General features: G+C 41.5%; 1 protein-coding gene across 15 annotated transcripts in view; it reads right to left on the reverse strand.

Moving 5' to 3' along the window:
* Window positions 1-27,490, reverse strand: part of SHROOM4 (shroom family member 4) — a 238,661-nt gene that overhangs the window by 9,618 nt on the left and 201,553 nt on the right. For 5 of the 15 annotated variants that reach the window (NR_172068.1, NR_027121.3, XR_001755716.3 and 2 more), the window contains 5 exons: window positions 22,230-23,033; window positions 17,482-17,662; window positions 13,115-13,384; window positions 10,547-11,813; window positions 1,645-6,993 (listed from right to left, as the gene is read on the reverse strand). Coding sequence is in view for 6 of the 15 variants with exons in the window: in XM_047442279.1 (XP_047298235.1) it covers window positions 11,544-11,813; window positions 13,115-13,384; window positions 17,482-17,662; window positions 22,230-23,033 (1,525 nt within the window). In the remaining 9 variants the exon portion in view is untranslated. Of the gene's footprint in view, window positions 1-1,644; window positions 11,814-13,114; window positions 13,387-17,481; window positions 17,663-22,229; window positions 23,034-27,490 lie in introns of those variants that run through there. The other 10 variants (XM_047442279.1, XM_017029683.2, NM_020717.5 and 7 more) reach the window with 4 other exon arrangements.

Here is a 27,490-nt window from a genome sequence, read left to right on the forward strand (position 1 = left end):
ATGAGCTTGGGGCACTGTGCTAAGTGTTAGTGGTATAAATTAGTTTCTGCCCTCAAGAAGCCCACAGCCTAAAGGGAGAGACAGAAAGTGTAAACAATGATCATATCCGAATACCACACACTGTTATTAGTATATCAACAGGATGTTTCTGAAGGATGTGAAATCTGAGTTGACACCAAAGGACACGCTGGAATTGGCTAAATAGGGAACTCAGGGAGTGGGGTGGTGGATTTTCAGGTAGAGGGACCAGCCTTTTTGAGTGTATAGAGGGATGAGACTGCATGACACATTTGCAGAACCAGCTAGAGCTAAGGATGAGTGTGAGAAGGTGTTAGGGGTCATAGCTGGAGAAGCACACAGGAGACAGAACATGAAGGGCCTTATATGCAAGAATCAGGACTTCATCCTCTGGGCAGCCAGGTCAATTAGAGGGAGCTGGGCCAGTGTGCAATTTGGAGGCAAAATTTGGAGCATGGTGTTATGCAGCTAGGCAGGGTGTTTGTTCTTCAGTTTAATAGCCACCAAAATATCCTCTTCACAAAACTGATAAAAGAGCACGAGGTCACAGAGTGAGAAGGGCAGAACTGCGTCCAGGTCTAAGGGTTTTGAGTGCCATTCCAGCGAGCTCCCAAAGATACATGGTTTTTCTCACTCAGAGATTGCTTCAATAACAGACTTGGTTTGGGTTATCTTTTGTCAAAACTGGATTTTTTTTTATAAAAGATTTTAGTAACGGTCTGAGTTTTATGACAGGCTTATCTGATAGAACAAAATATCTACCAGCCTGTGAGAAAGTGTCCAAAATTATGTTCTAAATGCATAATATTATCTAATTTATCCACAATCTCATTACTCTTTTCTATCTGCCTCTCCTCACTCTTACCACTGCCCACTTTTCTAAAAGAAAACTAAAGCTTCCATATTTGTAAAAGGTGCTTAAATATATAGTCATTTATGAGACTTCTAAACAGTAGCTGTTTAAGTTTAGCCCAAATAAGAGTTTTCTCTCAATTATAAGTTATCATTTATTGTATCTGCTGAGTTTGGTCTGCTTTTTCATCTTTATCAAATTTAAAACTGAGGAGAAATCAGGGAACAAGTTGTTATTTTTTCAGCACTTTGACTTATTCACATTTAATCTAATGCATTTTCAAGCTGGAAAGATTTTTTACTCATGGCCTTTTCCCAGATTTTTTCCTTTGCAAAAAATAGAATCAACTCAACACCCAGGGAGGTGAGTTCCATTAATTATCCTTTTCAGATAGAAAATAAGTAGCTGGGAGGAAAATGGGAATTCAAAGCCATGTTATTTTACTCTGTTAATGGCAGTAAGCAACTCCAGAATGAAGGGTCATATTGAAGAAACTTTTAAGCAGTTTACAAACAGAATGTGGTCTGTTAATGTTTACACTGCTCAGGAGGAGAGGAGCTTTTGCCAGAACCCCTTAGTCTTTGGCCATGTTTGAATGTTGCACAGAATGGGCAAGATTTCCATGTGACATGAATTGATTTTCTCTATCAAGAGTGGAATTCAACCTTTCTGTCTAAACTACTTTCAAATCCTACCTCTTCAGTGATAGTTTGTCATCCTTTTGCTAGACAATTTTTTAAAAATCTCATCACAAATCCTATGGAGAAAATATCTTTGGTGAAAATCTTTTATTGTATATATTTAAGGTGTACAAATGATGTTTTGACATCCATTACATAGTGAAATGATTGCTACAGTCATGCAAATTAAATATGCATTTCCTCACATAATTACCCTCTTTTGCAGTAAGAGCACCTGAAATCTACTCTTAGAAAATTTCCAGTATTCAATACAGCATTATTAACTATAGAACTTATGCTGTACATGAGATCTCTAGATTTATACATCTTATGTAGCTGCAACTTTGTAGCTTTGACCAACATCCTCATTTCTTCCACCTCCATCCCCCTGTGTGTTTGACTTTTTTAGCTTCCACATATGAGATTACGCAGTATTTTTCTTTCTGTGTCTGGTTTGTTTCACTTAGCATAATACCCTCCGGGTTCATCCATTTTGTCATAAATAGCAGGCTTTTATCAAAAAGGCAAGGGATAACAAATGTTGATGAGGGTATGGAGGAAAGGAAACCCTGGTACATTGTTGGTGGGAATGTAAATTAGTACCCCATTTTGGAAAATAGTGTATATTCCTCAAAATATTAAGAATACGATGACCATATGATGCAGAGATTCTTCTTCTGGGTAAATACCCAAAGGAAATGAAATCAGTATCTCGAAGAGATATCTGCACTCTCATGTTCACTGAAACATTATTCTCTGGTGAAAATTAATGCAAAAAATATTTTAGTTACTGCAGTAGCAAAGAGATTCATGAGTTTAGCCTATTGCACATAGCTGAAGAAATCAAGGAAGAATGTTTCGCATTGCCATACCAGGGTAAAAAGTGATTGTGTGTATATTTCTGTATATAAAGTATTATGTAATTGTATATTTATACTTATCTATCTCTTTCATTAGGATAAAAGCCCCACGAGAGTGGGGACTTTGTCTATCTTGTCCACTTCTGAATCCCTGAAGCACAAAACAAATTATTGGCACATTAGTTGAATGAATGAATGGCATTGCACACTTACAATCTATTTTGTTTAACTTACAAACAGCAAAAATGCTACCACAATTCTGAATTTTGATTAAATAGTGTTTCAAAATCACAGATCTGTTTTAAAGATTAAATGAGGATTTCTGCTTTAAAAATGTATGTTTAGATAGAAAAATAGTGTAAGCAAAGATAAGTGAAAGTGCTTAACCCAGGGTGGGAAACTCAATGACATTTAAGTTGACTTTAAGTCTAAAGATAGGTTTGAGGAGGAGTGGATGTTTTCCCCAAACCAGCCTCAAATTGGACCTTAAGTGGTCCACATGCAAAACAGTTCCTTCTCTATTGTTCTGAAGGGGGTGTTTTCTTGGGAGTATAGACTAGTCATCTTGCAGGCAGCTAACAGACTACATTGTTCTCATCAGATGGTAGTATTGAGCTTGCCAGAAAATTTTACTTACAGTGGGGAACTCCTAAGGCTGAAACATTTTATCTGCAGGTCCAAAAAATCTTGACCTGGTGCACACAGCAGGGTAGGTAAGGAAAGGAACCATCATCTACGGAGAACCTACCATATGAACAGCTCTACCAGAGACCTCATTTGATTCCTACTTTAGCTTTATAATAAAAGTTAACATTCATTGGGTACTTATTGTCCTAAGTACTTTGCATGGATTAACTCAATAATTCCTCACAACACAAGGATGTATTTTTGTTTCCACCATTTGACAGAAGAGGACATCCAGGTACAGGGAAGTTAAACATGCTCAAGGTTACACAATGTGTAAGTGGTGGAGCCAGTATGAAAACCTACGTGGTGTGGGTTCCAGTGTCCAGGCTTGGAACTGCCTCTGTAAGAGAAGGATTACTATCCTCATTATTTGCTAAGGCTCAATAAATAAAGTGACTTCCAAGGTCACATTAACAGAGCTGTCTGACTCCAAAGCTGAAGATGCTTTACTTTTCCTTATATTGTTCTACTTCAATCTCACCTCAATAAAAATAAATCTAGCAGCTAACATTTATCAAATACTTACTACATGGCAGACATTATTTTAAGTGCTTCATGTGAATTATCTCATTTAATCAACATAGTAACACTTTGAGGTGGGGCTTTTATTAGCCCCCTTCTGTAGATGAAGGTATTAAGGTTGAGAGGAGTCAAGTAACTTATTAAGGTGACACAGTAAATTGGTAGAATCAGGATTTAAAACTTGGTTTATTTGCCCAATGAGCCGAAGCTCTTATCCATTCTACCACAATATTTGCCTAGAAATATTGCCCCTCCTTCCCAATAGTAGTCCCTCCCATCTCTCTTATTTTTGCTGAAGTCTTAGTACAAGGCTGAGACTACTGTTTGTCCTTATGTTGCTGGGTCTTCCAGGTCTTCAAGGGGAAGGTTGTAATAGTAAAGTCACTCCCAAATTCAAATATTGTAAATATTGTACCCTTTGGAGTCAGGAATGAAGTACATGCTCACCATCAACTCAGATTTTTGTCAAGAGGAATGAGACTGATGGAAATAATCAATAGCTTTTTTAAAAAAACACACTTATTGAGAAATAATTCATATACCATTTAGCACACCCATTTAAAATGTATACTTCAATGGTTTCCAGTACATTCAGAGTTGGACAACCAGGATGACAATCTAATTTTATAATATTTTCATCATCCCCAAAAGAAACCCCATGCCTATTGCCCCTGAGCCCCCAGCCTTGACAACCACTAATCTGCTTTCTACCTTTATAGATTTGCCTGTTTGGGACATTTCATATAAATTAAATCATACAATATGTGGTCTTTTGTGATTGGCTCCTTTCACTTAGCATATTTTCAAGGTTCATCAATGTTACATGTATCAGTATTTTATCCATTTTTATGGCTAAATAATACCCTACTGTATGCATATATCAAAGTTTGTTTATCCATTCCTCAGTGGATGGACATTTGGGTCATTTCCACTTTTTGGCTATTATGAGTAATGCCACTTTAAACATTCATGTTCACGCTTTTGTTTGAACACCTGTTTCCAATTCTCTTGGGTATATACCTAGGGATGGAATTGCTAAGTCATGTGGAAATTCTATGTTTAACATTTGGAGAAACTGCCAAGCTGTTTTTCAATGAGGTTGCATCAATTTACATCCCCATCAGCAATGTATGAGTGTTCCAATTTCTTCATTTCCTCACCAACACTTGTTATTGTTTGGCTTTTTGATATAGCTATTCTAGTGGGTATGAAGTGGTATCTCATTGTGGTCTTGATTTGCATTTCCCTAATGAATAGTAGTGCTTGAGCATCTTTCCCTGTGCTTGCTAGCCAGTTGCATATTGCTATAAGCTGAATGTTTGTGTCCTCTCCAAACTCACATGCTGAAGCCCTAATCCCCAATGTGATGGCATATGGAGGTGGGGCCTTTGAGAGGTAAATTGGTTTAGATGAAGTCACAAGAGTAGGCATTCATAATGAAATTATAATGCCCTTATAAGAAGGGGAAGAGACCAGATCCCTTTCTTTTTTTTGAGACAGAATCTCGCTCAGTCACCCAGGCTGGAGTGCAGTGGCTCAATCTCTGCTCACTGCAAGCTCCGCCTCCTGGGTTCACGCCATTCTCCTGCCTCAGCCTCCCGACTAGCTGGGACTACAGGCACCTGCCACCATGCCCTGCTAATTTTTTTGTATTTTTTTTAGTAGAGATGGGGTTTCACCGTGTTAGCCAGGATGGTTGCGATCTCCTGACCTCCTGATCCGCCCGCCACGGCCTCCCAAAGTGCTGGGATTACAGGCGTGAGCCACCGCGCCTGGCCGAGACCAGATCCCTTTCTGTCTTTGCTGAGGACACAGCCACAAGGTAGCCATCTGCAAACCATAAAGTGGGCCCTCACAAGGCATTGAATCTGCTGGCATCTTGCTCTCAGATTTCCCAGTCTCCAGGACTGTGAGAAATAAATGTTATTTAAGACAATCAGTCTATGGTAGTATGTTATAGCAACCCAAGCATACTAAAACACATATTTTCTTTGAAGAAATGTCTATTACAATCTGTTAACCCATTTTTAATTGGTTATTTTTATCATTGAGTTGTAAGAGTCCTTTTCATATTTTGAAGTATCTGATATGCAAATATTTTCTCCTAATATTATGTTGCTTGTCTTTTCACTTTTTTATATGGTATATTTTTAGCACAAAAGTTTTTAATTTTGATTTACTCCAATTTATTTCTATTTCTTGTATCACTTGTGCAAATCGTCTTAACATTAGGAAGACTTATTACAATGTTTTCTTCTAAGAATTTTATAATTTTGACTCTTACATTCTATAATCCATTTTGAGTTGATTCTTGCATGTGATTTAAGGAAAACTTCATTTTTTCCCATGTAGATACCCAGTTGTCTCAGCATCATTTGTTAAAAAACTATTCTCTCCTCAATTTCTCTTGGGACCCTTGTTGAAATTAACTAACCATATACATGAGGATTTATTTCTGGACTCTCAATTTAATTCCATTTATTTATACACCTACCCTTGTGTCTGTACCACACTGTCTTGATTACTGTAGTTTTGCAGTAAGTTTTGAAGTTGGGATGTATGAGCCCTCCAACTGTTCTTTTTAAAGATTGTTTTGACTGTTCCAGGTCCCTTGTAATTCCATATGAATTTTAGAATCAGCTTGTAAACTTACACAAGGAAGCCACTGGAATTCTGATAAGCACTGGATTGAATCTGTAGATCAATTTGGGGCACATTTCATCTTAACAATACTAAGTCTTCCAATCCATGAACATGGAGTGTCTTTCCATTTATTTTGATCTTCTCTAATCTCTTTCAACAATGTTTTATAGTTTTCAGTGTAAAAGTTTCGCACTTCTTTTGTTAAATTATTCCTAAGTACTTTTTTCTTTTTGATGCTATTGTAAATGGAACTGTTTTCTTTCTTTCTTTCTTTCTTTCTTTTCTTTCTTTCTTTCTTTCTTTCTTTCTTTCTTTCTTTTTGAGACAAAGTCTCACTCTGTTGCCCAGGATGGAGTGCAGTGGTGTGGTCTCAGCTCACTGCAATCTCTGCCTTCCAGGTTCAAGCAATTCTCCTGCCTCAGCCTCCCGAGTAGCTGGGACTACTGGTGCGTGCCACCACACCTGGCTAATTTTTTGTATTTTTAGTAGAGATAGGGTTTCACCGTGTTAGCCAGGATGGTCTTGATCTCCTGACCTCGTGATCCACCTGCCTCGGCCTCCCAAAGTGCTGGGATTTCAGGCGTGAGCCACCATGCCCGGCCGGAACTGTTTTCTTAATAACATTTTCGGATTGTTCATTTGATCTTGTGTTTTAACCTTGTATCCTGCAACTTTCCTAAATTCATCCAGGCAGGTAGTTGTGAGCAACACGAGAAGAGCAAGAATATGCCTGGGATAAGGAAAAAATGAATTGAGTAGATCAGGACTATAATAATGGTTACCATGTACTGAATATGTTTTCAACAAGTCAGTACTTCCCATGCTGTAATATGTTCATGAATCTCCTGGAAATCTAGTTAAAATTCAGACTGCTATCACTGGGTTTGGGGTGGGCCTGGGATTCTGCCTAATAACTTCTTGGATTGTTAGTGGCTTTTATTTATTATTTTCAAGTTACAATAACTGCAAGCAAGATAATACTGTTCCCATTTTACAGATAAGAAAATGACCTCAGAAGTTGAGCTAGTAGCCCAGGTTCATTGAATAAGTGGCAGAACCAGGATTTGAACACAGTTCATTCTAATGCCAAAGCTGGACTCTTTCTACTCTACCACAATGGATATCTTGAGTAGAAGGAGGATAGTTGGAATGTGAACAGAATATGGATCACGAAAAAAGAAAGCTTTTCAATGTCAGAGTTGCTTCCTGGAATACATTTGAGTCTAATCTTTGAGGTTGCCTTGGAGAGCAGATCACCAAGGCCCTTGCTTTCCAGGGAGCTGAGCATGAAGGTGTGAGATTGGACTATCAGCTAGAAGTAAGATGAAAATACTAGACAGAATTCAAGATTGGAAGAAGTCTAGAAAGAATGGCTTACCTTCGATCAGGCTAGACTCCAGAACTAGACTCTGTATACTGCTTAGGTCTATACCTGAGATTACACCTATTGTTGACTTTTTCTGCATTCTAAACATGGGGTTAGACTGGATGTGATGTTGCCACTGAGTAACCAGAGAGGAAGAAATATATCAGTGAGCTAAAGGGCAGGGCTGTGATCCTGAGATCCTTCTGAGTAGAAAAATACCATGCTTCAATACTGTGATAACAACAGAAATAACCAATGGCTTAAACTCTGTACCCCCTACTCAGGATGGTCTTGAAATAGATGTCTAAAAGCTGTTCCCCTAAAAAGGCTATGGCAGATCCTGCTATTTAACTGGGGATGATGAATGGTATAGCATCAATACCATCCCTCAGAGGCCAGGGTAAGGGTTTAGGGATGTGGGTAAGGGTCTGGTCATATGTTTATCTGTGAAGGACTATGGATAGGTGACCAAATTCCTTTCCAGTACTTTTCAGCAGAATCTTTAGACTTCCATCACCTGAGTTAAAACACATGAGATTTTTTTTTGTCCTTAGCACCTTTTATTGAAATATGACCCTTGATGACAATCTGGCAGGCATATCTATGTCAGCCAAGAAGGGAGTGGTGGAGGACACAAATGCAGAAACAACAAGATTTGGAAAAAGAATAGCTTCACATGGGATAGATGACCCCCAACAGCTGTACAACCAACACTGGTTCTTCATCTATAGAAACTGTCCCCTGCCCCACCCCCCCAAAAAGATCTACTAATCTTCAAATAATATAATATGCTGTTGCAGAAATATTATTGGCATAGACGACTCCTCTGGCAAAGCTCCAAATGGGTGGAAGTGGCCAGAAATGGGCCCAGCTTCCTCCATCTGGGGCTTGCTACTGGCAGAGCAGCACTGTCAGGGAGGGTCGGGTTCAGGATGTGGCTCTGGTGTGCCTGGGCAGCTTTATGGCACATGAGGTTAAATGGAAAACAGAACCTGAACCTAACCTTGAAGGAGGCTTTTTATCTTTTCACCTCTCCTTTTCTTTGCTTCCAATTTCTTCCTTTCTAGGGCTTTATTTTCAGTGTCTCTGTCTTATTCTGTCAGATTCTACTTGGGCATTTACAGCTATATCCTGGTTGAGTCTCCAGCTGTGGGACTCAGGAAGATTCAATTATCCAGAGCCCTGGGAGGTGGCAGGAGGGGTTGGGGGGACATGTGATAGTAACTCATGCACTGACTTCTCTATCAGCCATCATGCTTGCCTATTACCCATGGGGGCCTGTATAAGTATTTGACGGGAGACAGCAGAAGTTAAGACTGATAACTGTCTTTGGGGATCTCCCTTGGCCTGCCTTCCAAACTGCTACTCACTGGCAGGCCTTGGAGGAGGGCTGAGCCCAGGAACTGAGAACAGGGGAGAGAGACTGCATCTCAAGTAATACTGGCAGTGTTGCAGCACCGTCACACACAATGAGACTGCCCTGGCAGGAGTGTGGCACGCCAGTGTCTGTTTAGCAGTTCACCTTTATCTACCAAGCTTCACTGCTAGATATACTTTTGGGGTTATTTTTTAAATGCTTTGGCAACTTTCCCTCCATGTGAAAATGAGCATCCTTGTGTTCTGATTCTAACTCTAGAAACTAATTTGAGATGGGATTAAGAACAAAAATAACAGAGTTAATAGTATTTTTGGTGTCATAAACTTAAGGTACAACCAATCACATGCTGACTAGAAAAACTCAAGACTATGGCCATAGTGTCCAGGTAAGTGACCGTTCTTTTCCCTAGGCCCATATTCCCAAAAAGGTGCTCTAGCCCACAAATTCTGAGAATGATGAAACATATCAGCCTCATCCTCCCAATACAGGACATCTCAATTTGCTCATTGTTTGTCCTAGAGCCTGCTCAGAAGAAAAGATGACAACTATGGCCTCCATTGAAAGCACTCCCCTACCTTCTCAATCTTGGCTGGCTTGTGTAAGCCTAGCCCCTGCAAGCCACCAGCCTTCCTGAATAAAGTAGAATCTTCCACTGGAGGGGAGAATGGCAGGGTTGCCATTCTAACAGTGTTTCTGGCAGCAGTACTAAGAGCAAACCCAGAGCTCCACAGAAAGGCTTACCCCACCCCCTACCCCAGGACACCCTGCTGGCCAAGATTCTCCCATTGTTTTCAAATACAATGAAGAGGAAATGGAAGCTAGTGACAAGTATTTGTAACAGCAGCAAAAGTTCCTTGGCAAATTCTTTGGTTGAATGAGACATCCCTGCTGCTACAGTTGACCTTCAAGGACCCTGAGGAACTCAGCAGTAACTAGAAGAGATGCCAGGCCTTGGCTGGGTTGTGTGATACCAAGGATTGGCCCCAGTTAGTGAGGAACAGGGAGCTAAGCTGGATAACAGGGCAGCATTTGGCCATAACCCCCTTCTTGCCATCGTCCACCTGAGGGCTGCTTTTCCAGCATAGAAACTAGCTACTGGTGTCAGGGCCTTGGCAACAGCAGCAGTTTTAGTTGTTTGTATGCCTAAGATCCTGGCTGGGTCTTCAATTGCTCTGGGGAGCTGGCTCTGGCTGGAGCTCCCAGCTACCTTGAGTTTTGGTTCCCTTGAGCCAGGCCACAGGCTGAGAAAGCAATGGTTAGAGGAGTTCCTTCTGAGCTCACCTCTACTGATCCCATAGCTTGGAGATGGTAGAGAAATGACTGAACCTTTCTCCATTTCAGGAGATTTCTTTGGTTTCAAAAAGAAATCAGTAAGAAAAACTTAAACCCTGCTGGGGAATGCTAAACTCAAGTCACTTAGACTTTAAGGGAAGCACAAGGCCAGGCCACAGTAGGGAGGCTCTGAGTTCAAGGGGAAAACTCCTTCCTAGACATCGGTAGCTATGGTGGGAACAATTCAACGCCTTGGCACTTGCTTACCTAGCCACGGTGGATTCAGGCTGATCTGCAGAAAATGCTTTCCTTCTGGGCTAACTTTTCCCTCTCCAACTTCCCTCTTCTCGCCTTATTAGTTAAAAAAGAAAAAAATAATCAAAACATAAAAATAAATAAAATCAAAAGGCCATTTAAAATATAACAATAAGAACCCCCTCCCCCAATAATGAAACCTACATCTAGAAGTCAGTTTTAGTAGAGCTATTAATGGCCCATATGGTGAAGCCCTGGGGTAGGCACCTGCGGTAACCCCCAGCAATGTAAAGGAAAGATGAAACAAGAGGTGGTAGGACCAAAGTCTTAGGACAGGAAGAGGGTCACACTAGCCAGGGCTAAGAGTAGGCCTCTTCCCCTGAACTTGCTGCTGGGAAAGGTAAGGGTAGAGCCTATTTAAACCTGGTTCCTTCCTAAGGGGCACCTGGGGGTACTCAACCTTTGCTTGCATTTTTTTCAGTGTAATTCCTCCCTCTGTGCTTTCCCCTGCAAAGCTTGGGTGAGGCCCTGAAACTGGTGCCAGGTGAATGCCCTCAAGGCAGCCAGCTCTCTGTGAGAAATGGCTGGCCACAAGCCCTGGGGCAGAGTAGAGCTGCAAGGCAGATTCCCTCTGAGCCTTTAGAGGCTGTTGATGATATGGGTGGGTGATGAGTACTTGATGTCTTTGGTGTCCTAGTACAAAGCAGAATGAAGGCACTTCCTTGGTTCTCTGTGCAGCAAGTACTTGCCCTTGGCAACTGTGGGAAGGAGAGTGTGGTTCTAAGATCACACCTTGCTGCAGCTCCCTTGGGTAGAAGCTTGTGGCTTCCCCAGGGTCTCCTAGCTGGTTAGGACCACTGCTAGGGAAGGGGTAGTGAGAGACATCCAGGGTAGAGGGCTGGAACAAACTGCTAATTGCTATCTACTTGCTGAGAAACTGCTAACAAAGAAGATTGAAAGCACTTCCCACATGGCTGGGCAGGGATGCTGTGGCAGAGTGCTGGTAGAATTAGAAATTGCTGGGCCCCAGGAGTAGACTCTCCCTGAGACATTTGAGTTGCTCTTCCCCGAGCTTGATCTTCTCCTCCAGCTCTCGCTGTTCAATGATGAGAGCAGATTTCATCTTGACAAAGTGCTGGTAATCTTGGAGCTGGTCCTGAGGCAGGTAGCGGGAGACCATGCCAAACACCAACTTCTCCCGGCGGTCCACGTGCTCCTTCAGCTCCTTGGCATCTGCCAACTGCCCCGTCAGCTGCTGCTTCTTCTCTATCAGTACCAACTGGGGAAGCAGAGGACCAAGTAAGGGCTCTCTCAATTACCAGGCATCTGTCCAACAGTGCTGCCTAGCAGTACTCCACCAGAGATGCTGCCACAAAGCAGCTATACATTCTGCTAATTAGTCAGTCCTAGATTTTCTGCCCTGAAGTCTACCTCCATGCAAAAGCCTTTGTTTCCTGTAGCAGGAGGGTAAACATGACAACAATTCTGGATAGGGGATGTGAAATTACCTCTTTCCATCTCTTTAACGCTGTCTTCAATGTAGGGACCACCACTGGGCTTGGGGTGGAGGAAGGCTCTGACAAAGCCAGCCTGTGTCCCTTTCACCTGGTGAACAACTGTCACTGTGGAGGTGCTTTCTGTATGATGTGTGTGTCTGTGTGAGTGGATATGTGTGAGTGTATGTGTCTGTGTATGTATGTATATGTATGTAGATATGTGCCTCTTGTTGTGGATTCAAAGGTATATCCAAAGCCACCTGTATAGGGAAAGGTGATGCAATTTTGGTTCAGGAGTATATGCATAGTGACCCAACCTGTGAAACTGACAGCTTTCCAATCTCAAATACTTGATGAGACCTCCCCCTCCAACTCTAGAGTGAGGCAAAACTGCTGCTGCTACTACTACTACTGGGAGCTAGCATTGATTCAGTGTTTACCCTGTCCCAGGCCCTGTTTTATGTAATTAACATAAACTAATTTAATTCTCACAATAATCCCATAAGGCAGGTAGTATGCTCACCTCATTTTACAGGTGAAGAGATTGAGGCAGAGTGACGTTATGTAAGTTGTCCACAGTCACACAGCTAATAAATGGTAGGGCAAGAATTTCAGGGCACTTAAAAGCCAGTGTTCACACTCTTATTTTTTTATTTTATTATTATTATTTTTTTTGAGACAGGGTCTTGCTCTGTCACCCAGGCTGGAGTGCAGTGGCACAATCTTTGCTCACGGCAGTCTCCGCCTCCCAAGCTCAAGCAAACCTTCCACCTCAGCCTCCGGAGTAGCTGGGATTATAGGCATGCGCCACCCTGCCAGACTAATTTTTGTATTTTTAGTAGAGATGGGGATTCACTAAGTTGCCCAGGTTGGTCTCAAACTCCTGGACTGAAGCAATCTGCCCGCTTTGGCCTCCCAAAGTACTGGGATTACAGACATGAGCCACCGTGCCCATCCTCAGTGCTCACATGCTTTTAATCCCATGCTCTACTGTTTCCTATAGTAGCCCAACTTGAAAGAGGGAGCCCTGAGAAGAAACAAATGGTATTTCCCTCTACCCACACCCCACAGACCCCAACTCTACCTTCTCCTGGTTGGCCTCTGAATCGATGCTGTTCAGAGCATTCTCCACCCGGGCCAGTCGTCCAGAGAGTGACAGCAACAGGTTGACCACTTTGTCCAGGTCCCCAACAAACAAGTGGTACTTTTCAAATTCATTGGATTTGCAGACGGCTTTTAAGTTGGCCTCCACCTCCTCCCCAAGGGCAGAATTGGCATTGATGTCCTCTAGCAGCCCTCGCTGGGCCTCCCGCAAGACAGAAAGTTTTCTGCTGATGCTTTCGATAAGCTGTATCTAGGGGAATTAAACAGGAGAAGACAAAGGATGAGAATGGGGATCAACAGAAACTGATTTGTGCCTGTAACCTCTGTTTTGGAATCCAAGGAACAGATGGTGGGCTCTATCCTAGTCACTGGAAACAAAGGAAACTTGGGCAAGTCATGAGCAACTCCAGTCTTTTGGGCAAGCACCTTCTATCCGTCTGGTAGGGATCTCCATGTCACCACCAAACTTTTTGGCATTGGGTAAGTGGTATCCATGCACTAAACTTCATTTACCAGATGCAACTTAATAAATACTTGCTGGCACTTTGTTTTTTTTTTGAGATGGAGTCTCACTCTGTTGCCCAGGCTGGAGTGCAGTGGCACGATCTCAGCTCACTGCAACCTCCGCCTCTCAGGTTCAAGCGAGTCTTGCGTCTCGGCCTCCTAAGTAGCTGAGGTTACAGGTGCATGTCATGGATGCCAGGCTAATTTTGTGTGTGTGTTTGTGTGTGTGTGTGTGTGTGTGTGTGTACTTTTAGTAGAGATGGGGTTTCATGATGTTGGCCAGGCTGACCTCAAGTGATCAGCCCCCCTCAGCCTTCCAAAATGCTGGGATCACAGGTGTGAGCCTCTGCACCCAGTCCCTTCCTGGGACGATTTAATAAATAGGAGCTACAGTCCTTTTGAGAGCCTAGGTTGGAAAAGCATTTGCACTAAGGTATTTGCCTATCACTTCATTCATTCTCCTTCAATCCATTTAAGTACCTCTCAAGTTCATGACACTATGCTAGATCTTTGCTTCCTTAGCTTGGCTTTTGAGGCCTTTTGGATAAGACTGTGAGTTCTGGAGTTATAACGACTGGGTTTGATTTATAGCTTTGCCACTTCGTAGCTGTGGGACCTTGGGTGACTTGACATTATTGAGCTTCACTTTCTTTATCTGTAGAATGGGGATAATTGCTTTACCCACTGCATTGAGTCATAATAAGGAGTCAATGAGATTATGCATGCAAAGTGTTTGGCCCATAGTAAGTGCTGCGTAAAAGCTAGGCTGCTATTATTTGTTACTCAGTCTGGCCCCACCTTGCCATTCTAATGTCCCTCCTCAGAGCCTTTCAGAATTAGCTCCTCATTCTCCTCTGTGTTCACAACACTCATTCTTGTGTTCCTGAGTAGCTTATGCAGTTCCACCTACTCTTTATCTCTTTCTTCATTTTGATTATTCCTAAATTTCTTCAGGGGACAGCTCTGCCCCTCCCCTCCCTCACAGGAAGCCCTCCTCTGTAAGTCTTCTCTCAGTGATCTTTTTTTGTCCGAGCTTTTAAGTATTTTAGAATTAGAACCCTATAGTGTAACTTGAAGTTCCTCACTTTCTATTCCTTGTGTGTGTCTGATCTCTCACCTGCTAATGATTGTAAGTTTCTTAAGGGAAGTGCTGTCTGTGTCTTCTGATTTGTCTCCCCTATAGGTGAGTACAGTCACAGGGAAGTACAGCAAAGTTTTAGAGTCGGAGACATCTGGATTCCAATTCCACCTCCAAACTCTATGGCCTTAGGATAGATACCTAATCCCACTTCTGTTTCCTCATCTGTAAAGTGGACACCTCCCCAACTCCAGAGATTTTCTGATGGGTAAATGAAACCACATAAGTAAAAGACTTAGTATTATGACTGGCACTTAAATGCTCAATGCATGCTTACTAATGTTATTATTATTATTAAATTAGTTCTACAACATACTCCAAACTAATAGATACTTGTCTAGCTGCAAGGTTATGACAAGAATGGCCCTGTCCCAGGCTGCCCATAGCCTCTGTAGACAGTACTGCTTTGTGGTTAAGAGCACAGAGACTCCAGTGCCAGACTACCAGAGTTTGAACTCCTGCTCTGCTGGAAAGTAGTGGTATTATATACGACCTTGAGCAAATTACTCAACCTCTCTGCACGTCAATTTCCACATCTAAAAAATAAGATAACAATAGGACCTACCTCATAGAGTTGTTATGAGAATTAAATAAGTTAACACATGTTACATGTTTAGAATAGTATCTTGTTCATAGGAGTATGCTTCAGTGTATGTTTTAATCTTATTCTAGCCCAAGCACTGGGCCCATAGGTTTGTAGTTTTCTGGAATGTATTCCCCTCTAGTAATTTAATTAGAGATGTCCAAAGTGACCAAGACTAAGAAAGCCTCCTCCAGGTTCCAAGACCTGTTGTCATATTTTAGAACTCTTCAAAAGTCAGGAGATCACCATGATCTCAGTCTGAAGTATAATAGGTTTGCATTTGGGGAAAGTTCCAAAACCCACTGAGAACTGGGGATCAGTGATATGAATAAGGCAACACAATTAGATGAAGAGGCTGTCAGTTATATTCCCACCATCTGCTCTCCCAAATAAAAGTCAATGCTGGGGACAAAGGATGGCTAGGGGCCATCTAGAAAATGACCCACTTGGAAAATCACCTTCTTACCCCAGTTCCCAAGCTCCAGGGATAGATGGAAGGATAAAAGTGGAGAGAGCCCTTTACTTCTTGGAACTTGGGCTCTACAACCTGAACCTCAGTCCTGGGGAAGTGTGATGGATAGAGTTGTGGAGTCATCACAGATCCAGCCAGAGCTGAGTTGCTTTTTCTGGGACATCGCAAATTGGTGACATTCCTCACCTTTCTTCCTCAGAGACAAAAACTGTCATAGCCCACCCACAATCACTTTAGTTCACTTTCTGTCGTTCTGTGCTCTGCCATTTCTGATCATCTCTCTCTTTTCCTGGTCAGACTTCTAGGTTTGCCCCTGCAGAGGCCAGGCCCTGAGTAAGCTAGGAGTACCCCTGCTCGGGGAACATGGAATCCAAGGAAGCAGACATCTGCATCAGTAAAACTTCAACACCACCATGCTTCCAATTCTTCCCCTGACATTTTGCTTCAGATAGGAAATTGGAGGAAGGACTCTTGCAAATGGCCCTGTAACTTCCTACGGGTCATATCCTGAAAGAAATATGGGCAGAACAATTTACATTGAGTTTAGATGTCCACAAAGAAGGTAAATTGAGCCTTTGAGGTTGCCATGACAACCCTATTTGCTTATGAAATACAATAGGTAAGTGCAGGGAGGGGAAAGTGATTCCAAGAATTGGATTAGAAAACCAGACTAGTGGTACTTAGACAAAGAAAGGAAAGCTTTGGAACGACAACAACATCATCATCTCCACTTAACTATTTTGTACTTTTAAGACATAATTGACTATCCTTGCAAATAAATACTAAAGTTTGCCAGCCTATAAGTTGTCCTTATTTTACTTAGTCTCTTCTGTCTCCCACAAAGTTGCACAAAGAATAAAAATCAATGGCACTGCCATTGGTTAGAGGAGCCCACTGGCAGAAACTCTGATGTGCCCTGGGTAGTGAGTTACTTACAAGGCTGGCTTAATTCAGAGAGACAGCATGTACTGTACAGTAGAAATTCAGACAGTCTTGACTTCAAGTGCTGGATCTACCATTTAGTCTGTAATCCCTGGGCAAATTCGTCCCTTCAACTAGTAAAAAAGGGATAGTAATATCTGCCTTGTTGGGCTGTTCTTTTCTTTTCTTCTTTTTTTTTTTTTTGAGACTGAGTTTCACTCTTGGTTGCCCAGGCTGGAGTGCAGTGGCGCGATCTCGGCTCACTGCAACCTCCGCCTCCCGGGTTCAAGCAATTCTCCTGTCTCAGCCTCCCGAGCAGCTGAGATTACAGGTGCCCACCACCACGCCTGGCTAATTTTTGTATTTTTAGTAGAGACGGGGTTTCACCATGTTGGCCAGGCTGTTCTCAAACTCCTGACCTCAGGTGATCCACCCACCTTGGCCTCCCAAAGTGCTGGGATTACAGGCGGGAGCCACCGTGCCCAGCCCTTGTTGGGTTGTTCTAAGGATCACAGAGACAATAATGATGATTATGATTGTTATTATTATTATTGACTGGATCAAAAATAGACAGGACTTGGATCTGTGAGAAATCCAGAGAGGCTGTATGGTTTCCATACTGAAAATATGGGAATGCGAGATGTTCTAGAGAGTGTAGAAGGCTGGTCATCCTCCAGATACATTCAAGCTAAATTCTGAAAATCTCTAGGACACATCAAAAAACTTTACCTTTTTTTGAGCCAGTTCATGGTCAACTTCCTCCTCTCCTAGGCCAATCTCTGCCATCTCAGGTTGGTCTTTCAGTTTGTTCAGCAGCTCTGCCTTGGCCACAGAAATATTGTAATAAGCTGAGTAAGAGGTAGGGATTCCTGGGGCCCCTGAAGGAGGCGAAAAGTGCTGAAACTCTTGTCTGTGGAAACAAAGAATGACCATTTGAGCACCTCTGTTGAGAGGCTGCTGACATTTCTGCTTCTTAATTTCTCCATCTGAAAAATGGAACCCTGCTTCACCAAGGAGTTGAAAAAAATGGAGAAGGCACTGTTCAAATGTAAACAGGCCACATGAAGGCAAACTGGAGTTAAGTAAAGGTAAGTTTTAAGAACTTAGAAGGCTATTTCCATGCCCCTGACTTCATCGGCTAGGGAGACTTCTTTCGAGATAATTTGGTTTGGTCATTAACACTCAATTAAAATCCAGAAAACCTGGCAGGCCTTCTGATCATCATCCCTTTGGTGCATGACCCCAGTATGTGGATCCCAAAGTAGGGGCTAGGTGGTAGAGAAGTATCTGAGACCTTATCTATTGGTTCTCCAAGCCTGTTGGCCTCCCTCAGACCTACCCCTGGATCTCAACCCATCCTGGCTCTATCTAGTCTTCTTGCTTACAAAGGCACCCTGTGGCTTTCCTGGACACTCTCATCATTTTTTTCTTTTCCAATGCCACTCCTACTTGAAATGGACCCTCTGCTGCAGATCTCCCACAGCAAAGAGGTCACCCATGACCTCAACAGTGGTCACCATGTTGGAGGCTGCAGTTAGCACCCTGCCAGGGACTTGTCACCGCCCACCACATCTCTCATGAACTCTTCAGACATTGCCTGCTGTAGGGCAGGACTTCAGCCTGAAAAGGGATAGCATCTCTCCACTTCTGGCATATTCCCAATGGCTCCTGCCTCCTCCATGGTTGTAGAATGAAATGGGGAAAAAAATGGAACCAGTGGCACCCAGGGGCTTGACAAGTATAGCAACAGACCCTGTTGTCTTGGGTTCACCAAAGCCTGTGGGGCTGAGGCATTGCTTCTCAGAGCCCCAGCCCATGAAATAGAACTTCTCAGGAAAAAAAGTAGTTCTGGTTCCATGCTGGCTTGGGTTTGGCCTCTTCTGCCATCAAAGCTTCCAGTCTGGTGTGAGGAAGGAAGTAGAGAGAAATGCTACAATGTTAGGTCTCAGCGATGGAGGGGCAAATAATTTTGCCCGTGGTTTATGCTAGGGGGTGGCCCGCCCTCACTATATTCTCATTGCCTGCTAGCCACTCCCATCCTCCACCTGTCTGTGTCACTACCCCTTCGCTAACCTCTAGCTGTTTGAAAGGGAAAATAGGAGAAACTCATTAGTCATTTTTGCAGCTATTTGCAGTTCTTAAAGGTCAAAAATAATGGTTAAAAGGCTCCACAGCTATTTACTGATTCATGCTATGCTGTCTCCTAATTCATCACACAAAAGAAAGTTGGGCCCGCCAATATTTTTTATCCTAGGTAAATTCATTTATATGTAAGTTTCAAGCTTGTAACACTGATAAAAGAACAATACTAGCTAACATGCACACCATACTTACCATGCCCCAGAAACCATCCTAAGATAGATACATGCACACATAGGTATATACATATATAATTGAATGCTCATGAAAACCATTATACAGATAAGGAACATGAGGCAACATGAGGTACAGTGACTTCCTCAAGGTCACCAGACATTAAATGACAGACCTGCAATTTGCACCTGGACAACCTGACTCTAGAATCTGTGCTTCAAGCCGCTATGCTATACTGCCAAAGGGACAACTTGAGATCATATAAAAGCCTACATGTAAGGAATTTTCTGGCTGGAGTATATCTATGTTAGCAGATAATGGAGAATATTCTGGAGGGAATATGAAGGTCTGAACTTAGGGAATTCCTATCTACAAGAAAAATATTTAGGGTATGTGTGAAAGTTCTGTGTCAGAAGGTGTTATAAAGGAAAAAAAGGATGTGCTAATTGGAGACTCAGTTCCCCAGCATACACATCCCTGCATCATATTATAGTATATCACATTAGGCACTATATTCTAGGGATCCTTTCCTTATCACCTCCATTAATAGGGAAGTGATTATAGGTGGTCTATGTAGTAAACATCAAAGCAAAAAGCAGATTCCTTTCACAGAGCACTGAGAGGAAATGCATAGAGTCCATAAAGCAAGCTATACCTATACCTGAATCAGTTATTAGACTTAAATAATACTTAATTATTCCACTAGCTGGCTTCTGTGTGTATCCCAGCATTTTTTAACAGAACAGTATGTAGGTTATAAAGGTACTAGAGTTTAACTTGGCTGAAATTAGGATATCTTTGTTTGCATTTTAGATTCAAAATATTATGCATCTATATGTCCCTTACAAAATCTTAAAGCTGCTTCCTTCTGGCTAGGACACTGTCCTCTCCTAGGGTCTGGAATAGAATCTTCTTCAAGAGCCCAGAGATCGTGGGATGATATAGCAAGCATAGTGAGCTACCTGAGATCTTGTGATAAAGTTACTTTATCTCCCTGGGCCTTGCTTTTTTCATCTAAGAAATGGAGAAGATGAATGGTAACTATTTCATAGGTTTATTTTCATGATTAAATCAATCATTACCCAAAGTGCTTAGAACAATGCAGGGCACATAGTAAGCAATCAAAAAAATTAGCTATTTTGGGAATGATGCTGTTCCTTAAATCTCCATCACTCAAAGGAGCATCTAATTGATTTTGTAGTCACAAGCAGAGCTGTGTGCAAACAAATGTTTTCCCTTACATCCTAGAGTCATTAAAAATAAATCTCTGGAGCAAGTTACAAGATCTCTAGTAATAGTGATTTCTTTCTGTCTGGCCAAGGTGCCAAGGCAAAGGGAGCTACACAAAGAAGGAAGAACCAGGGCTTGTAACTGCTGCCTCTGGTACACCTTGCCCTACAGGAGAGAAGAGGACCCTGTGACTCCTGGCCTATGGAAAGAACAAGATCTCTCTGGGAGAGGCTGCCTAGGAAGGCAAAATAAGCATGGGCTTTGGAGTCAGACAGCTCTGGCTTTGAATGTTTGCTGTGTAACTTGGAATTAGTTAGTTTCCTCATCTGTCAAATGGGGATAATAATGGCTAATAGGGCTATTGGGAGGATTAAATGAAATAGATACATAATGTCTGGCAGTGTCTGGTATATAAGAAATACTTAATAAATGTTCATCCATTCATTTATTTGTTCTTTCTTCTTAAATATTTGTTAAGTGCCTACTATTGGGAGGTCATTTTCCCTTTTCCCTGCTATGATAGATAACAATCACAGGTATTTTTCACAAAATGTTTTCTAATTACAATGAGAATGCTCCCCAGGTAGAAGAACAGCTTGAGAAGCAGCCACATGGGATCTAATGAAGGATTCTTTTTTTTTTTTTTAATTATACTTTAAATTTTAGGGTACATGTGCACATTGTGCAGGTTAGTTACATATGTATACATGTGCCATGCTGGTGCGCTGCACCCACTAACTCATCATCTAGCATTAGGTATGTCTCCCAATGCTATCCCTCCCCCCTCCCCCCCTCATGAAGGATTCTTAACAGTGCCTGGGAGCCAGGCCCTGTAAATGCTGTGCTTATGGCATCTTGGGCTGGAAAACTGATCAACTAGCTCCACATAGACAAGTCACAGATTTGTCTGACAATAAAAGACATGATAACAAGGTACTTCTAACCGCAACAAGTCTCAGGCAAATTCCTGCTATAAAGAGAGTTAAGGAAAGCACTTATAAGCCACCTGCCTCCCGAACCTCAGCCCCAGCAGAGAGTGGGCTGAGCTCTCCACAGGAGAGCAGGTGGAGCTGCTGACAGCCAGAGCACTGAGCAATAATAGCAATGATGGTCCTGGGGCTTTTGCTTTGGAGCAAAAGAAATTAAAAAAAAAAACCCAACCATGCACTATAGGGCATGCAGATGACAACTGGCTCAGTGGAGTGAACAAACACTGGCAGTCCTGCTGCCAGAACACACTCTTGCTTTGGCCTCCCTGCCCAGGCAGCTCACCCTGTCAACTACCACCTATTACACACCCACATGAATGCAAAGAGGCAGGTAAACAAGGAGGGGGAGAAAGTGGAAGAGAAAAAGAATGTCCTTATCTATTGTAAGGAATTATCAAGGCATGAAGCACCCAGCCCCAGGAATACCTTTGATGCTGGTGGTTGTGGGGGGACGAGTTTAGAAGCCCAGGCTACTTGTCCTAGAGCAGAGGCAGGTCAGGTTGTGAGCTGGCCTCTTATTCTGGAGGGCAAGCAGAAGAGAAGGCAGGAAAAGTGCCTGAGCCAGGTTTCTGGGAAAGACCTAGTATAGGCAACAAGTGTTCAATGCCTTTGGGATCAGGGGCCAGAAATTGATGGATACCATGAAGACACACTAAGGAAAAGTATAGTACTTTAATAAAGATATTTAGGGATAAGAACATGATATTTACTGAGCATGTACTATGTGCTAAGCATGGAGCTATATCCTTTATGTAGATTATCTTAATATTCATAACAATCATGTGAAGCAAGTATCATTATACCCATTTTCCAGGTAAGAAAACTGAGGCTGGGAGCAGTTTAACTGGCCAGCCTGAGGTCATCCAGTTAGTAAATAGTGGAGGTAAAATTCAAACTTGTGCTGCCTGCCTCTTCAGAGACCTAGTATCTTTCATATGTACTTACTTGGCGGATTCAGTGGCTTCCTGTCCCGATGTCCTCCAAAGCCCACCAATGCCATAGTAGCAAGGGGGCTGAGCCTGCTCAGGTTGAGATCCCAAGTGACCCCTTATTGGAGGCAAGAAATCACTGGAATGGAGTGCAAAGGATTCTTGCTCTGCTGGGACACTTTGTGAACCCTGTCTCGAGCCCTCCAGGTGGCCAAAGCTGAGGGGTTGTGGCTGCTCTAGGACCTCCTCAGGATTGAGAGCACAGGAACCAGAGGTTTCTGAACTGAAATACTGGGGTGGCAGCTCCTCTTCCTCCTCCTCTGCCTCCTCCTCCTCCTCTTCCTCTTCCTCTTCTTCTTCTTCTTCCTCCTCCTCCTCCTCCTCCTGTTGCTTCTGCTGCTGCTGTTGCTGCTTCTGCTGCTGGGCTGCACGAAAGAGCCTGTACTTCTCCCAGTTGGGAGGAGGAGGGCGAGGAGGAGGAAAGGCCTTCTTCCTGGCTCCGAGAAGATCCGACTGGGTCTCATCACCTTTGCTAAAGAGCTCCCTCCTATGCTGCCCCCAGGCCCGGGTGCTTTGGGGCGCCAAGCTGATGTGACTCTCTGAGAAGGCACGGCTGCGCAGTGGGTGGGGCATGGAGGCAAGGGAGCTCCCCTCCTCATAAACTGAAGTTTCCTCTGATTTTTTCAAAGCATGTTTGAAGTCTCCAAGGAGGTCAAGAGAAGAAATTGCTCGGTAGCTTGACAAGTCCAGTGCTGGGTTCTCAAGGCAAGGATGGAAAGGGGTTGCCCATGAAAAGCTAGTCTTGGAATGAGCCATTTCCCTGCAAAACATCAGATGAGTACTGAGAAAAACAAGCAAGTTGCAGATAGGCCCATATTTTGGATGACAACATTTATATAAAATTTAAAATGTCCACAAAACAATGTAGTATGTGTAGTAAATGTAATAATAGTAATAATAATATTATAATAATGATAGCTAACACTTACTGAGCACACACTAAATACTAGGCACTGTTTAAGTGGTTTCCATGTCTTCACTTATCTAATCCTCACAATAACCCCAGGAGGTAGCTATTACTATTGCACTGATTTTACAGTTGGGGAAACTGAGGCATAGAGCATTTAAGTAACTTGCCTGGGGTCATAAAGCTAGTATGTGGTAGAGCTAGGATTTGAACTTGAACAGTTTAGCTCCAAAGTCTGGATATACACATACTACCCCAGTCTGTTTATAGGAGTCAGATTGCATGTGCTGTTTTCTGGGGCTTACAAGCCTGGTTATCCTGCCTCATCTGTTGTTTTTGTTTGTTTTTCATTATAAAAATGTTGAATATTTAGAAATGTACAGAGATTGATTGCCATAATACCCATGTTCCTACCTATCACCCAGACTTAGTAAGTTTGAATACTTTGCCATTTATGTTTTATGACTGTTTCTTAAGAAATAATACCCTTCACATAACTCTCCACTTCCATTCCCCTATTGCCTCTCTAGATGCAACCTGTATTATGAATTAGATATATATACTTTCTGTGTTTTTATACTTGTAACAAAAAACACCACACAGGTCATTCATAGTTATCTGCTATTTTGGATTTAAAATATCTCCTTCTGGCCAGACACAGTGGCTTATGCCTGTAATCCCAGCACTTTGAGAGGCTGAGGTGTGTAGATCACTTGTGTCCAGGAGTTCAAGACTAGCCTAGGCAACATAGCAAGACCCTGTCTCTAAATTTTTTTTTTAATTAGCTGTGCATGATGGTGCGTGCCTTTAGTCCCAGCTACATGGGAGGCTGAGATGGGAAGACAGCTTGAGACTGGGAGGTCGAGGCTACAGTGAGCCATCATTGCACCACTGTACTCCAGCTGGGGTGACAGAGTAAGACCTTGTCTCAAAAAAAAAAATATCCTAATGCAATTCCAATCAGAATTCTCAATAGGAATTTTTAAACTACATTTAACTACAGAATTTTTAGAAAATTAACTTGTAATAAAAGCAGGATATAATATTAAAGAGTATTCTGCTACAGAAGAAATGGGGAAGGGGGTAAGTAAGGGATAAAGTATATTATAAAATAATTGTAATTGAAACTGTGTTATTGATCAACAAAACAGAATAGAAAGTTCAGAAACAAAGCAGACTACCTATAAAAACATCATATACATAATCTTCCCCCAAAAAGGAGATAAAGAAATATTATTTAATAAATCTTTTTGAGATAACTGCAAAGCAGTGCTTTTTGGAGCTACATCATATATTATATACCAAAATAAATTCCAGATCAAGAGTCATGGATATGTGTGTGTGTGTGTGTGTGTGTGTGTATAATTTTAATATATTATATATGTTATATGTGTATATATATGTGTATATATTATGCACATATATAACATAAGAAAAACCTATCAGAAAATTAAAAAGACTATCATTGTGAGGTGAAATAAGATTCTCATAAGCAATAGAAGAAAACCTCCAAATAAGTCCAGGTTTATTTGAATTTACATAAAAATTCAAACTTCTGTATAATAAACACTGACTAAAGTTAAAAGACATCTCTTTAGCCTCAGAGTATAAAGAGTTAAGCCCTCTAAACCACAAGATCTGGTTTCCTGCTGTAGCCTGTGAGCAATCAGCATCATGCTAAGTCCTGCCCAGTGACAGGAAATTCCAGGGGTTCAATTAAATCATCATACAGAATATCCATTCAATAATCATGATGAAGATTGGAAATAGTTCTTTAAAAAATAATAATACACATAATAATAGCCAAATTCAGACAGAATGGAAGACAAAATGTCCTTAATTCTCCTCTTATCCCTCCCCCATTCTGGTCAGCTCACCACTCATGTGGATCAGAAATTCATATCCAGACATACCCACTATCTTCTCATTTGGGCCTTTGCACACTTATAGATCATTAAGATTATAACAATCCCTTTTGTGCAAACTGTTCCACCTGGCATATTCTCTCTCTCTCTCTCTCTCACACACACACACACACACACACACACACACAGTGATGGACAAGTGGAAAGTAAAAAAATGACAAACGTGTACCAGGCAGAGAAGCCTTTCCTGACTACTTTATCAAAAATAGAGACAACTTACATTTAATTATCCTTATTCTACTTCATTCTTTGAGTATTCATCTTCATCCCCACCTGATATCATATCACATATCTATTTTTACTTGATTATTTTCTGCTCCAATCTCTAACTAAAATGTAAGCTCCATGAGGGCAGGATCTTGTCTGTCTCATTCATAGGTTTCTAGTGCCTGGCACACAGTAAGTGTTCAATAAATATGTTTAACAAAGGAATTAAGGTCAAAATTAAAGAAAAAATAAATTATGATACTCATTTCATACATAAGTTGAATTAAAGGCAAAATGCAATAAATAAGACAAAGAAGGGCACTATAATGTTAACAACTAGAACACATGATGGTCTACCTCCTCTGATCTTTTATGCACCAAAAAACATAGCATAAAAATTCTTAAAGCAAAATCTATAGCAAATGCAAAGGTAGAAAAAAAGTAGAAACAAAATATGAGACTGTTTCAGCTGATGACAGATCATGACAGTCAAAAACTAAGATAATGAGAAAATCTAAATTTCTTCATATACTGAAACAGACTGTATTTTTTTAATCAAGGGCCCATTGAGTATATTTTTAATTGGCTATATACTGAGCCAGAAAATGGAAGTAGTACAGACCATATTTTCTCATGACAATACGGTAACACTAGTAGTACAGACCATATTTTCTTTTTTTCTTTTTTTTTTTTTTTTTTTTTTGAGACGGAGTCTCGCTCTTTCGCCCAGGCCGGACTGCAGTGGCGCTTTCTTAGCTCACTGCAAGCTCCGCCTCCCGGGTTCACGCCATTCTCCTGCCTCAGCCTCCCCAGTAGCTGGGACTACAGGCGCCCGCTACCGCGCCCGGCTAATTTTTTTTGTATTTTTAGTAGAGACGGGGTTTCACCGTGTTAGCCAGGATGGTCTCGATCTCCTGACCTCGTGATCCGCCCGCCTCGGCCTCCCCAGACCATATTTTCTAATGACAATACGGTAACACTAGAAATTAATAACAAAATGAAAATAAAAATCTTTAGCATGTAGAAAATAAACGGGAAAAAAATTCTTCCACTTTAGTCGAAGAGAAAATCTAATTTGAAATTGTTGAATATCTAGAAAATGACAACAAACAATGAAAATATCAGAAGCTAGAGGATATGGTTGACTAAAGCAGTAGTTAAAGAAAAACTTGTAGGCTGGGCGTGGCAGCTCACTCCTGTAATCACAGCACTTTGGGAGGCCGAGGCGGGCGGATCACTTGAGGCCAGGAGTTCCAGACGAGGCTGTCCAACATGGTAAAACCCTGTCTCTACTAAGAATAGAAAAATTAGCCAGATGTAGTGGCGTGCGCTTGTAATCCCAGCTACTCGGGAGGCTGAGGCAGGGGAATTGCTTGAACCTAGGAGGCGGAGGCTGCAGTGAACTGAGATCGCGCCAATGCACTCCAGAGCTCCAGCCAGGTTGACAGGGTGAGACTCTGTCTCAAGAAAAAGAAAAAGAAAAACTTGTAGCCTTAAATACTTATATTAGTATGTAAGAATGAATTAAAATAAATGAATTAAGCATTCAACAAAAGAAGAAAAGAATCATAAAAATAAACCTAAAACAAAGCAGAAAGACAATAAAACTAACGGCAGAAATTAATATACTAGAGAACAAGTGATAGAATAATTAAAGGCAAAACCAATTCCTGAAAAGAAAATAAAAAACAATGAAACAGATTAACCACTTGCTAATCTAATTAAAAAAAAAACACCCAAATGCACAAAATTAGAAATTGAGAAATAACCACAGTTACAGAGTAAATGAAAAGAATAAGAGAATACTTTGCTCTACCCCATAAAACAAATTTGAAAACTTAAAGTATTTTTCTGTGAAAACAAATATTACCAAAACTGATTTCAGAAGAATGAGAATATATAAACCCACCAGTTACCATAGGAAAAAAAAGTATAAATTTGACCAAAAATAGCACAATCACATAGTCTTGTGTTAATTCTACCAACCTTCAAGGAAAAAAAATCAAACCAATGTTATTTACATTTTCTAGAATCTGGAAATCTAGAGAATAGAGAGAGAAGAAAAGATTCCTGCATTACATTGATACTAAAACCCAGCAAACAGAACAGAAAAAGCAAACTAGAGACCCATCTCATCTGAGAATACAGATGCAAAAATCTTAAATAAAATATTAGCAA

The sequence above is a fragment of the Homo sapiens genome, chromosome X (assembly GCF_000001405.40).
Source record: "Homo sapiens chromosome X, GRCh38.p14 Primary Assembly".
Classification (NCBI taxonomy): domain Eukaryota; kingdom Metazoa; phylum Chordata; class Mammalia; order Primates; family Hominidae; genus Homo; species Homo sapiens.